We start from the raw sequence: 14538 nt of genomic DNA on the forward strand, positions 1-14538 counted from the left end.
AATTATTTTGTTACTCTTTATGTACTTTATTTCTTCAACTTACGACAAGTATAATTTCTTCTAACTTCTTTGTTGTCTTAATATTTAGCGTAATATAAAAGGTAGTCACTTAATAAATTAATGTGAAATTATTTCTGATATAAAAATAAAGCTATCAGACTGTTCCCTCTGTACTGTCTAGTGGGAATTTTAGGGGGGAAAAATGTACATACAAAATGGCCTACAAATAACATGGAGGAATCATATGTAAAAACTAATGTACCAGTTGCTTAAACTTTCACTAAACTCTTCTTCCTTTGAAAGATGAGGAAGAGTTTTAATTATATACTGAATATAAAAATTATGCTATTCATAATATGCATACAGCACATTTGCAGTCAGTGGTAAATTATTGATCTTGAAACCACCTTTGCAAAAATAACAATGAGAAAATTATGACAGTAAAAGAAATCTAATCTAACCCCCATCTTGCCTTTAACCTCCCAACTGCCCTTGGTCATTCCTGGGCCTAGGCCATGCTAACTTTAGGAGAAATTTATAGTTTAAATGATAATGGCCCTTCCCCAAAACTAAACCACCTTTGTAAAGCTAACGAAAGACGAGGTCTTGCTGTGTTGCCCAGGCTGGTCTCAATCTCCTGGACTTAAGTGATACGCCCACCTCAGACTCCCAAAGTGCTGGGATTACAGATGTGAGCCACTGCACCTGGCCTGGATAAGCAAACTTTCTAGGTAACCAAAGCTTTATCAGATTCTGAAACGTTACTAATTTAATGATTCTTTTCCTCAAATGTATTCTATAGTTTTTTATCCTTGTATGAAATATATTGAATATGAATTAACGGTGTACTTGAAGATTAAATTGTATAATTATAATAGTAAATTTTGGGAGGTGTCTATGTTCTAGGCACTGTTGTAGTGCTTTATGTGTATTAAAATTAATTTGTTATTCATAACAATCCTCTCAAGGTAGATACTTTTATATTCCCATCATACAGTTGAGCAAACTAGGGTACAGAGAGGTTAAGTAACCTGCTCAAGAATACATGGCTAATAATGAAATGTTAGTAATATTTTGAAAGCTCTATTTCTGCATCATTATTAGAGCCATAGGCATCTCCTTATCAATTTGTATCTTAAAAAGAAATCTCACTGGCACTTTTTTAATGGGGTTTAAAGAAAAAAATTGCTCTACTGTTTTAAGAATCCCCACCTCTCTCAAAACCAACGACTGATCTGCTTTTTGTCACTGCCAATTACTTTGTGTTTTCTGGTTTTATATAAATTAAGTCATACACTGTATACTTATTTTTTCTAGTTTCTCTCAGCATATTTTGAGATTCATCCATTTTGTCGTGAATCAGTAATTCATTATGAGTATTAGTTTACGGATTTCTCACAGTTGGTTTATCCATTCATCTGTTGATGGACAGTTTGACTTGTTTCCCGTTTGGGGCTGTAACAAACAAAACTACATGAACATTGATGTACAAGTCTTTGTATGGATGCGTATTTCCTTTTCTGTTGGGTAAATATCCATGAGTGGAACAGCTACATTATATGGTAGAAGTATATTTGACTTTTAAAGGAAATGTGAAACTTTTCTGAAGTAGTTATACCATTTTACATTCCCGCTAGCAGTGTATGAGAATTTCTATTTTCCTCTATCTTTGCCAACATGTGGTAGGGTATGCCTTTTTAATTTTAGTCATTCTGGTAGTGGTGTAGTGATATCTCATTATAATTTTAACTTGCATTTTTCTAATAACTAATGATGTTGAACATTTTTCTCATTTGTTTATTTGTTATGTGTGTGTCTTATTTGGTAAAATGTGTGTTCAAATCTTTTGCCCATTTTTTTAGATGGGATCCTTGATTTCTTGTTGTTAAGTTCATATTTTGCATCTTGATATCTGTTCCAGTACAATTGGTTGAAAAGATTATCCCTTCTACACAGCATATCTTTTGCACCTTTGTCAAAAATCAGTTGTCTACATATGTGTGGGTTTACTTCTATATACTTCATTCTGTTCCATGATCTATTTGTATATATTTAACATCATTTTGATTACTCTAGATATATAATAATTTTTGAAATCACACAGTGTTAGGTCTCCAACTTTGTTCATTTTCAAAGTTGCTTTTGCTATTGTAGGCCTTTGTATTTCCATATTTTATGTTCATCTCAATTTTTTTTTGTAAACATTAAAACACAGGAAAAGAATTAGAGCATAGATATAAGGGTTATTTTTACTTATAGCATTATATGTAAATTAAAACTACATTGTTTTGAAAAAACTTCCACTGAACAAACATTTTTCTCACCATGTTTACTCTTTTTTTTTAAATTTTATTATTATTATACTTTAAGTTTTAGGGTACATGTGCACAATGTGTAGGTTTGTTACATATGTATACATGTGCCATGTTAGTGTGATGCACCCATTAACTCATTTAGCATTAGGTATATCTCCTAATGCTATCCCTCCCCCCTGCCCCCACCCCACAACAGTCCCCAGTGTGTGATGTTCCCCTTCCTGTGTCCATGTGTTCTCATTGTTCAATTCCCACCTATGAGTGAGAACATGCGGTGTTTGTTTTTTTGTCCTTGGGATAGTTTGCTGAGAATGATGGTTTCCAGCTTCATCCATGTCCCTACAAAGGACATGAACTCATCCTTTTTTATGGCTGCATAGTATTCCATGGTATATATGTGCCACATTTTCTTAATCCAGTCTATCATTGTTGGACATTTGGCTTGGTTTCAAGTGTTTGCTATTGTGAATAGTGCCGCAGTAAACATACGTGTGCATGTGTCTTTATAGCAGCATGATTTATAGTCATTTGGGTATATACCCAGTAATGGGATGGCTGGGTCAAATGGTATTTCTAGTTCTAGATCCCTGAGGAATCGCCACACTGACTTCCACAATGGTTGAACTAGTTTACAGTCCCACCAACAGTGTAAAACTGTTCCTATTTCTCCACATCCTCTCCAGCACCTGTTGTTTCCTGACTTTTTAATGATTGCCATTCTAACTGGTGTGAGATGATATCTCATAGTGGCTTTGATTTGCATTTCTCTGATGGCCAGTGATGATGAGCATTTTTTCATGTGTTTTTTGGCTGCATAAATGTCTTCTTTTGAGAAGTGTCTGTTTGTATCTTTCGCCCACTTTTTGATGGGGTTGTTTTTTTCTTGTAAATTTGTTTGAGTTCATTGTAGATTCTGGATATTAGCCCTTTGTCAGATGAGTAGGTTGCAAAAATTTTTTCCCATTCTGTAGGTTGCCTGTTCACTCTGATGGTAGTTTCTTTTGCTGTGCAGAAGCTCTTTAGTTGAATTAGATCCCATTTGTCAATTTTGGCTTTTGTTGCCATTGCTTTTGGTGTTTTAGACATGAAGTCCTTGCCCATGCCTATGTCCTGAATGGTATTGCCTAGGTTTTCTTCTAGGGTTTTTATGGTTTTAGGTCTAACATTTAAGTCTTTAATCCATCTTGAATTAATTTTTGTATAAGGTATAAGGAAGGGATCCAGTTTCAGCTTTCTACATATGGCTAGCCAGTTTTCCCAGCACCATTTATTAAATAGGGAATCCTTTCCCCATTTCTTGTTTTTGTCAGGTTTGTCCAAGATCAGATAGTTGTAGATATGTGGCATTATTTCTGAGGGCTCTGTTCTGTTCCATTGGTCTATATCTCTGTTTTGGTACCAGTACTGTTTTGGTTACTATAGCCTTATAGTATAGTTTGAAGTCAGGTAGTGTGATGCCTCCAGCTTTGTTCTTTTGACTTAGGATTGTCTTGGCAATGCAGGCTCTTTTTTGGTTCCATATGAACTTTAAAGTAGTTTTTTCCAATTCTGTGAAGAAAGTCATTGGTAGCTTGATGGGGATGGCATTGAATCTATAAATTACCTTGAGCAGTATGGCTATTTTCACGATATTGATTCTTCCTATCCATGAGCATGGAAAGTTCTTCCATTTGTTTGTATCCTCTTTTATTTCATTGGGCAGTGCTTTGTAGTTCTCCTTGAAGAGGTCCTTCACATCCCTTGTAAGTTGGATTCCTAGGTATTTTATTCTCTTTGAAGCAATTGTGAATGGGAGTTCACTCATGATTTGGCTCTGTGTTTGTCTGTTATTGGTGTATAAGAATGCTTGTGATTTTTGCACATTGATTTTGTATCCTGAGACTTTGCTGAAGTTGCTTATCAGCTTAAGGAGATTTTGGGCTGATACGATGGGGTTTTCTAGATATACAATCATGTCATCTGCAGACAGGGACAATTTGACTTCCTCTTTTCCTAATTGAATGCCCTTTATTTCCTTCTCCTGCCTGATTGCCCTGGCCAGAACTTCCAACACTATGTTGAATAGGAGTGGTGAGAGAGGGCATCCCTGTCTTGTGCCAGTTTTCAAAGGGAATGCTTCCAGTTTTTGTCCATCCAGTATAATATTGGCTGTGGGTTTGTCATAGATAGCTCTTACTATTTTGAGATACATCCCATCAATACCTAATTTATTGAGAGTTTTTAGCATGAAGGGTTGTTGAATTTTGTCAAAGGCCTTTTCTGCATCTATTGAGATAATCATGTGGTTTTTGTCTTTGGCTCTGTTTATATGCTGGATTACATTTATTGATTTTCGTATGTTGAACCAGCCTTGCATCCCAGGGATGAAGCCCACTTGATCATGGTGGATAAGCTTTTTGATGTGCTGCTGGATTCAGTTTGCCAGTATTTTATTGAGGATTTTTGCTTCAATGTTCATCAAGGATATTGGTCTAAAATTTTCTTTTTTTGTTGTGTCTCTGCCAGGCTTTGATATCAGGGTGATGCTGGCGTCATCAAATGAGTTAGGGAGGATTCCCTCTTTTTCTATTGATTGGAATAGTTTCAGAAGGAATGGTACCATCTCTTCCTTGTACCTCTGGTAGAATTCAGCTGTGAATCCATCTGGTTCTGGACTTTTTTTGGTTGGTAAGCTATTAATTATTGCCTCAATTTCAGAGCCTGTTATTGGTCTATTCAGAGATTCTGCTTCTTCCTGGTTTAGTCTTGGGAAGGTGTAGGGTGTATGTGTCCAGGAACTTATCCATTTCTTCTAGATTTTCTAGTTTATTTGTGTAGAGGTGTTTATGGTATTCTCTGATGGTAGTTTGTATTTCTGTGGGATTGGTGGTGATATCCCCTTTGTCATTTTTTATTGCGTCTGTTTGATTCTTCTCCGTTTTCTTCTTTATTAGTCTTGCTAGCGGTCTATCAATTTTGTTGATCTTTCCAGAACACCAGCTCCTGCAGTCATTGATTTTTTTTTTTTTTTTTTTTTTTTTTTTTGAGACGGAGTCTCGCTCTGTCGCCCAGGCTGGAGTGCAGTGGCGCGATCTCGGCTCACTGCAAGCTCCGCCTCCCGGGTTCACGCCATTCTCCTGCCTCAGCCTCCCGAGTAGCTGGGACTACAGGCGCCCGCTACCACGCCCGGCTAATTTTTTGTATTTTTAGTAGAGACGGGGTTTCACCTTGTTAGCCAGGATGGTCTCGATCTCCTGACCTCGTGATCCGCCCGCCTCGGCCTCCCAAAGTGCTGGGATTACAGGCGTGAGCCACCGCGCCCGGCCGATTTTTTTTAAGGTTTTTTTGTGTCTCTATTTCCTTCAGTTCTGCTCTGATCTTAGTTATTTCTTACCTTCTGCTAGCTTTTGAATGTGTTTGCTCTTGCTTCTCTAGTTATTTTAATTGTGATGTTAGGGTGTCAATTTTAGATCTTTCCTGCTTTCTCTTGTGGGCATTTAGTGCTATAAAATTCCCTCTACGCACTGCTTTGAATGTGTCCCAGAGATTCTGGTTATGTTGTGTCTTTGTTCTCGTTGGTTTCAAAGAACATCTTTATTTCTGCCTTCATTTCGCAGGAGCAGGTTGTTCAGTGTCCATGTAGTTGAGTGGTTTTGAGTGAGTTTCTTAATCCTGAGTTCTAGTTTGATTGCACTATGGTCTGACAGACAGTTTGTTATAATTTCTGTTCTTTTACATTTGCTGAGGAGTGCCTTACTTCAAACTATGTGGTCAATTTTGGAATAGGTGTGGTGTGTTGCTGAAAAGAATGTATATTCTGTTGATTTGGGGTGGAGAGTTCTGTAGATGTCTATTAGGTCTGCTTGGTGCAGTGCTGAGTTCAATTCCTGGATATCCTTGTTAACTTTCTGTCTCTTTGATCTGTCTAATGGTGACAGTGGGGTGTTAAAGTCTCCCATTATTATTGTGTGGGAGTCTAAGTCTCTTTGTAGGTCAGCAAGGACTTGCTTTATGAATCTAGGTGCTCCTGTATTGCGTGCTCCTGTATTGGGTGCATATATATTTAGGATAGTTAGCTCTTCTTGTTGAATTGATCCCTTTACCATTATGTAATGGCCTTCTTTGTCTCTTTTGATCTTTGTTGGTTTAAAGTCTGTTTTATCCGAGAGTAGGATTGCAACCCCTGCCTTTTTTTGTTTTCCATTTGTTTGGTAGATCTTCCTCCATCCCTTTATTTTGAGCCTATGTGTGTCTCTGCACCTGAGATGAGTTTCCTGAATACAGCACACTGATGGGTCTTGAGTCTTTATCCAATTTGCCAGTCTGTGTCTTTTAATTGGAGCATTTAGCCCATTTACATTTAAGGTTAATATTGTTATGTGTGAATTTGATCCTGTCATTATGATGTTAGCTGGTTATTTTGCTTGTTAGTTGATGCAGTTTCTTCCTAGCCTTGATGGTCTTTACAATTTGGCATGTTTTTGCAGTGGCTGGTACCAGTTTTTCCTTTCCACGTTTAGTGCTTCTTTCAGGAGCTCTTTTAAGGCAGGCCTGGTGGGGACAAAATCTCTCAGCATTTGCCTGTCTGTAAAGGATTTTATTTCTCTTTCACTTATGAAGCTTAGTTTGGCTGGATATGAAATTCTGGGTTGAAAATTCTTTTCTTTAAGAATGTTGAATATTGGCCCTCACTCTCTTCTGGCTTGTCGAGTTTCTGCCAAGAGATCGGCTGTTAGTCTGATGGGCTTCTCTTTGTGGGTAACCCGACCTTTCTCTGTGGCTGCCCTTAACATTTTTTCCTTCATTTCAACTTTGCTGAATCTGACAATTATGTGTCTTGGAGTTGCTCTTCTCAAGGAGTATCTTTGTGGCGTTCTCTGTATTTCCTGAATTTGAATGTTGGCCTGCCTTGCTAGATTGGGGAAGTTCTCCTGGATAATATCCTGCAGAGTGTTTTCCAACTTGGTTCCATTCTCCCCGTCACTTTCAGGTCAGGTACACCAATCAGACATAGATTTTGTCTTTTCACATAGTCCTATATTTCTTGGAGGCTTTGTTCGTTTCTTTTTATTCTTTTTTCTCTACACTTCTCTTCTCGCTTCATTTCATTCATTTCATCTTCCATCGCTGATACCCTTTCTTCCAGTTGATCGCATCGGCTACTGAGGCTTGCGCATTCGTCACGTAGTTCTCGTGCCATGGGTTTCAGCTCCATCAGGTCCTTTAAGGACTTCTCTCCATTGGTTATTCTAGTTAGCCATTCGTCTAATTTTTTTTCAAGGTTTTTAACTTCTTTGCCATTGGTTCGCACAGAGTAATTTGATTTTCTGAAGCCTTCTTTCAACTCGTCAAAGTCATTTTCCATCAAGCTTTGTTACATTGTTTGTGAGGAGCTGCGTTCCTTTGGAGGAGAAGAGGCACTCTGATTTTTAGAGTTTCCGGTTTTTCTGCTCTGTTTTTTCCCCGTCTTTGTGGTTTTATCTACCTTTGGTCTTTGATGATGGTGACGTACAGGTGGGTTTTTGGTGTGGATGTCCTTTCTGATTGTTAGTTTTCCCTCTAACAGTCAGGACCCTCAGCTGCAGGTCTGTTGGAGTTTGCTGGAGGTCCACTCCAGACGCTGTTTGCCTGGGTATCAGCAGCAGTGGCTGCAGAACAGTGGATATTGGTGAACCTCAAATGCTGCTGCCTGATCGTTGCTCTGGAAGTTTTGTCTCAGAGGAGTACCCGGCCGTGTGAAGTGTCAGTCTGTCCCTACTGGGGGGTGCCCCTCAGTTATGCTACTCAGGGGTCAGGGACCCACTTGAGGAGGCAGTCTGCCGGTTCTCAGATCTCAAGCTGTGTGCTGGGAGAGCCACTACCCTCTTCAAAGCTGTCAGACAGGGACATTTAAGTCTGCAGAGGTTACTGCTGCCTTTTGTTTGTCTGTGCCCTGCCCCCAGAGGTGGAGACTGCTGAGGAAGGCGGGCCTCCTTGAGCTGTGGTGGGCTCCACCCAGTTCAACTTCCCGGCTGCTTTGTTTACCTACTCAAGCCTCGGGAATGGCGGGCGCCCCTCCCCCAGCCTCGCTGCCACCTTGCAGTTTGATCTCAGACTGCTGTGCTAGCAATGAGCGAGGCTCCGTGGGCATAGGACCCTCCGAGCCAGGTGCGGGATATAATCTCCTGGTATGCCATTTGTTAACCCTGTTGGAAGAGCACAGTATTAGGGTGGGAGTGACTCGATTTTCCTGGTGCCGTCTGTCACCCCTTTCTTTGACTAGGAAAGGGAATTCCCTGACCCCTTGCGCTTCCCAGGTGAGGTGATGCCTTGCCCTGCTTCAGCTCACGCACAGTGCGCTGCACCCACTGTCCGGCACACCCCGGTGAGATGAACCCGGCATCTCAGTTGTAAATGCAGAAATCACCCGTCTTCTGTGTTGCTCATGCTGGGAGCTGTAGACTGGAGCTGTTCCTATTTGGCCATCTTGGCTCCACCCCCCCCCCCCCCCCCCCCCCCCCCCGCCATCTCATCAATTTATACAGAAATGTCTGCTGGGAGTTTGATTGGGATTACATTGAATCTTTGGATCCATTTGGGGAGAGTTGCTATCTTAGCAATATAAACAAGATGTATTTCTCCATTGAAGTATTTTTACTTTCAGCACTGTTTTCTAGTTATCAGTGTACAAGTATTTCATCTCTTTTGCCAGATTTATCCATATCTCACAACTTTAATGTTACTGATTTTTTTCATTTTCTAATTGTTCTTATTAGTATGTAAAAATGCAGTTGATTTTTCTATATTTGTCTTGTGTCCAGCAGTCATACTAAACTCACTTATTATAGTTAATTCCATTAGGAGTCCTATGCAAATGACCATATCAAAAACAGTTTTACTTTTTCTCCCCAATTTATATACCTTTTCTTTTTCTTGTCTGAATTTACTGCCTAGAGTCTAGACAGTGTTGAATATGATGAAGGCATTCAGTCTTTTACCATTAAGAATGATGTTATAAATATTTTATAAATCTCTTTCATCCAGATATGGAAGTTTCCCATTTCTTCCTAATTTACTGAGAATTTTTAATCAGGAATGGATGTTGAATTTTGTCTAATGCTTTTAATGCAATGTATTCAGACTGTCATGGTTTTCCTTTTTTAGTTTGTTAATAAGGTAAATTACATGTATTTAATTTTGTTAAACCCCAACCCTGCATTCTTGGATAAACCTCATTTGGTTGTGATGTTTTTTTTTTATAAGGTTGAATTTAATTTGCTATAATTTTGTTTAGAATATGTTAATGAGGGAAGGAGAACTACAAACCACTGCTCAAGGAAATAAAAGAGGATACAAACAAATGGAAGAACATTCCATGCTCATGGGTAGGAAGAATCAATATCGTGAAAATGGCCATACTGCCCAAGGTGATTTACAGATTCAATGCCATCCCCATCAAGCTACCAATGAGTTTCTTCACAGAATTGGAAAAAACTACTTTAAAGTTCATATGGAACCAAAAAAGAGCCCGCATCGCCAAGTCAATCCTAAGCCAAAAGAACAAAGCTGGAGGCATCACACTACCTGACTTCAACTATACTACAAGGCTACAGTAACCAAAACAGCATGGTACTGGTACCAAAACAGAGATATAGATCAATGGAACAGAACAGAGCCCTCAGAAATAACGCCACATACCTACAACTATCTGATCTTTGACAAACCTGAGAAAAACAAGCAATGGGGAAAGGATTCCCTATTTAATAAATGGTGCTGGGAAAACTGGCTAGCCATATGTAGAAAGCTGAAACTGGATGCCTTCCTTACACCTTATACAAAAATCAATTCAAGATGGATTAAAGATTTAAATGTTAGACCTAAAACCATAAAAACCCTAGAAGAAAACCTAGGCATTACCATTCAGGACATAGGCATGGGCAAGGACTTCATGTCTAAAACACCAAAAGCAATGGCAACAAAAGCCAAAATTGACAAATGGGATGTAATTCAACTAAAGAGCTTCTGCACAGCAAAAGAAACTACCATCAGAGTGAACAGGCAACCTACAACATGGGAGAAAATTTTTGCAACCTACTCATCTGACAAAGGGCTAATATCCAGAATCTACAATGAACTCAAACAAATTTACAAGAAAAAAACAAACAAACCCATCAAAAAGTGGGCGAAGGACATGAACAGACACTTCTGAAAAGAAGACATTTATGCAGCCAAAAAACACATGAAAAAATGCTCATCATCACTGGCCATCAGAGAAATGCAAATCAAAGCCACTATGAGATATCATCTCACACCAGTTAGAATGGCAATCATTAAAAAGTCAGGAAACAACAGGTGCTGGAGAGGATGTGGAGAAATAGGAACAGTTTTACACTGTTGGTGGGACTGTAAACTAGTTCAACCATTGTGGAAGTCAGTGTGGCGATTCCTCAGGGATCTAGAACTAGAAATACCATTTGACCCAGCCATCCCATTACTGGGTATATACCCAAATGACTATAAATCATGCCGCTATAAAGACACATGCACACGTATGTTTATTGTGGCACTATTCACAATAGCAAAGACTTGAAACCAACCCAAATGTCCAACAATGATAGACTGGATTAAGAAAATGTGGCACATATACACCATGGAATAGTATGCAGCCATAAAAAATGATGAGTTCATGTCCTTTGTAGAGACATGGATGAAATTGGAAATCATCATTCTCAGTAAACTATCACAAGAACAAAAAACCAAACACCGCATATTCTCACTCATAGGTGGGAATTGAACAATGAGATCACAGGGAGACATGAAGGGGAATATCACACTCTGGGGACTGTGGTGGGGTGGGGGGAGGGGGGAGGGATAGCACTGGGAGATATACCTAAGGCTAGATGACGAGTTAGTGGGTGCAGCGCACCAGTATGGCACATGTATACATATGTAACTAACCTGCACAATGTGCACATGTACCCTAAAACTTAAAGTATAATAATAAAAAAAAAGAATATGTTAATGAGGGATCTTGGCCTGTAGTTATAATGTCTTTGTCTGGTTTTGTTATGAGGCCTCATAAAATGAGATAGGAAGTGGTTCCTTCTCTTTGGTGTTCTGGAAGAGTCTGTATTCAACTGATATTATTTATTTCTTAAAGAGTTGGTAGAATTTACCAGTGATGCTGTCTCAGCCTAGAATTTTCTTTGTGGAAAGGATTTGAATTGGAATTATAATTTCTTTAACAGACATTGGCTTTTCAGGGTACAGATTTCTTTTCAGTGAACTTTGGTGGTTTGTGTTTATCAAGGAATTTGTCCATCTCATCCAAGTTGTTAAAATTATTGTCATATTAATAATGTGACCTCATTATTCTTTTAATACCTCTAGAATTTGTAGTGATATCACCTCTTTGATTTCTGTTAGTGGCTCTTTTTTGCCTGATCAGTGTGACCAGAAATATGTCAGTTTTAGTGATCTTCTAAAACAATAACAAAAGAACCCCAGATTTTTATTCATTGATTTTATTTTTCTGTTTTCTATTTCATTGATTACCACTCTGATCTCTGTTATTTGCATGCTTCCCCACCCTCCACCACTTGCTTTGGATTTCGTTTGCTCTAGTTTAATTTGTTTCTAGTTTAAGGTAGAAGCTTGTCATTGATTTGAGATTTTCCTTTTTTTCTAATATAAGTATTTTAAGGCTGTAAATTTCCTCTTTAGTACTGCTTTAGCAGCATCCCACAAATTTTGGGATGATGTATTTTTAAAATTTCCCTTTTTCTCCTTTGATTCATGGGTTATTTAGAAGTATGCAGTTAAGCTTCAAAATATTTGTGGGCTTTCCAGAATTTTTTTTATTTGTTTCTAGTTTTGTTCTATTGGGATCAGGAAACATATATTATACACATTTTATTTTTACACACGGTATAAACCCCAGCATACACTGCTATTATTCTTGTTTTAAAGCCTGTTATCTTTTAAAGAAATTTAAGTGAAGCAAATGAAATTTGAATTTAATTAAATATTTTTTTTCTGACTCTTACCCCTGTCATGCGGAGACTCTGTTTATATGTATATTGGGCTACATGAAGTTGTTCCTCAATTCACTGATTTTGTTTCTGTTTTATTTTGGGTTTTTTTGTGTGTGTGTGTGTTTCATTATGGATAATTTTTATTGCTGTGCTTTTCTGATCATTGTCTAACCTGTCATTCATCCAGCCAATGTCTTTTTCATCTCAGATATTTTAGTATTTCTGTTTCTAGAGTTTTGTTTGAGTTTTCTATATTGCCTAACCTTTGGAACATACAGAATATAGTTCACATTTGGAACATTATGAAATATAGCAAAAGGTTTTAATGTCCTTTTGTGCTAATTTTAACATCTGATTGAGTTATGCATTGTTTTGATTGGTTGATTTTTCATTATGTCTCATGTTTGTCTTACTCTTCCTGGACTCTTCAGCTTCTTCTCAACTCTGGAAGTCTGCCAGGCTTTGTCTTAGTGCGCCTTCTAAGTGTGCTGACCCAGAAATTCTCACAAGGCAGTAAGCTGGGTAAGAGTAGGAGGGTCACTTCAGTTGTTTCTTATCTCTCAAGGATGACTGGCCTTCATTGCTTGATGCCAGTGTTTTGAAAAGTATTTCATAGATTTTGTCTGTTTTTGTTGTTGTTGTTGTTCTTGTTTTTTTATGTGTGAAACCTTTGTTATGATTTGATTTGAAGCCATTTTCCTTTTGCTTCCATACTCTCCATATTGCAAGAACATAAAATTGCACATAAAGAATTAGAAAGATGATCTTATCTGAAGAATTTTCACCCTTTTGTTTTTGTATCTTACAGTGTTGAAACTCTAGTTTCAAATACATTATAAAATAGTAAAGTTAATGGTCAAAAAGAAAGCAAACCACCTGGTTTTGCTGAAGAAACTAAGTATTTTCTTGGTCATTCCTTTGAAAAACAGGAAGCCAGAATTAGAAAGTAATTTGAAACCTTGGATAATTTCTTGGTTTTCTTTGGTTCTACTTTGAGTACATGCCCACCTCCCTCTAAAATGATAGGAATTCAGTATTACTGTAAAGTAGTTTGGGCAAAACACTGCCACTTCACTCTGTTAGGCGTAAAAATGTTTGGCTGGAAACAGCTAAATATAATATTTTGTACTTACAGAAATGTAAAATGGTTGTTTGAACTTCACAAATGTATGTATGTCATGACGCAGATGTATGTCATGATCATGTAATAGCACTGTTTTTAATACAATTTCTTTTTTTTTTTTTTTTTTTTTTGAGACGGAGTCTCGCTCTGTCGCCCAGCGGGGAGTGCAGTGGCGCGATCTTAGCTCACTGCAAGCTCCGCCTTCTGGGTTCACGCCATTCTCCTGCCTCAGCCTCCTGAGTAGCTGGGATTACAGGCGCCTGCCACCACGCCCGGCTAATTTTTTTGTATTTTTTTAGTAGAGACAGGGTTTCACCACGTTAGCCAGAATGGTCTTGATCTCCTGACCTCGTGATCTGCCCGCCTTGGCCTCCCAAAATACTGGGATTACAGGTGTGAGCCACCGCGCCCGGCCTACAATTTGTTGTTAAAAAATATTTTGTTAACTTAGAAAAATGAACTAGCTGATACTCAAATTTTGGAAATTAAAGGTTTGCTCTGTTTTATGTCTGTATCTGGGGCTATATTTTGTAGTAAATCAGAGACCAAAAGATTGTTTTTGAAATATATAAATATGCTGTTCTGAAGTTAATACTGTGTAAATTTTGAGTAGAGTAAGCGTTTTGTCTTAAAGGTGTAATAAAGCCATAAAGTGGCATTGTTGCTTTATAAACTTAGAATAATAATTTGCCATATTAGTGCAGAGTTCAAAAAGTACTATATATTTTGCAAAATAGTCACTTACTCATTATTGAATAATGCAGTTACTTGAGAGTATGCATGTCTAGAATACTTTATGAAGTACTGATTTCACTGAAAGATTTTGAAATCTGTAAAAACCCTTTTTTTCAACATGGGTTATATTAAAAAGTCGCTTCTATTTGCATAATTAGGCTATAATTCTCCAAGGGAGGGTATTGGAGAATAAATTTTTTTTCGAAGTAAGAATTTATAAAATTAAAATTCAGGGTTACAGTTATAGCCTTACTCTTTAATTCATGATTAATAAAATTTCTCTTTCAGACGGCAAATGGATACATCTTGTTTTTTCATATTACATCTACAAGAGGGGACAAGTACCTTTATGAACCAGTGTATCCCAAGTAAG

At 37.9% G+C, this 14538-nt stretch overlaps 1 protein-coding gene across 11 annotated transcripts in view; it reads left to right on the top strand.

Moving 5' to 3' along the window:
- The window catches only part of RIC1 (RIC1 partner of RAB6A GEF complex), a 149527-nt gene that overhangs the window by 46399 nt on the left and 88590 nt on the right, over window positions 1-14538 (top strand). For 10 of the 11 annotated variants that reach the window (XR_428426.4, XR_007061331.1, XR_007061330.1 and 7 more), the window contains one exon: window positions 14454-14533. The exons of the other annotated variant lie outside the window; for it this stretch is intronic. Coding sequence is in view for 5 of the 10 variants with exons in the window: in NM_020829.4 (NP_065880.2) it covers window positions 14454-14533 (80 nt within the window). In the remaining 5 variants the exon portion in view is untranslated. Of the gene's footprint in view, window positions 1-14453; window positions 14534-14538 lie in introns of those variants that run through there. 11 annotated transcript variants of the gene reach the window in all.

Source organism: Homo sapiens, chromosome 9 (genome assembly GCF_000001405.40).
Source record: "Homo sapiens chromosome 9, GRCh38.p14 Primary Assembly".
In the NCBI taxonomy this organism is placed as follows: domain Eukaryota; kingdom Metazoa; phylum Chordata; class Mammalia; order Primates; family Hominidae; genus Homo; species Homo sapiens.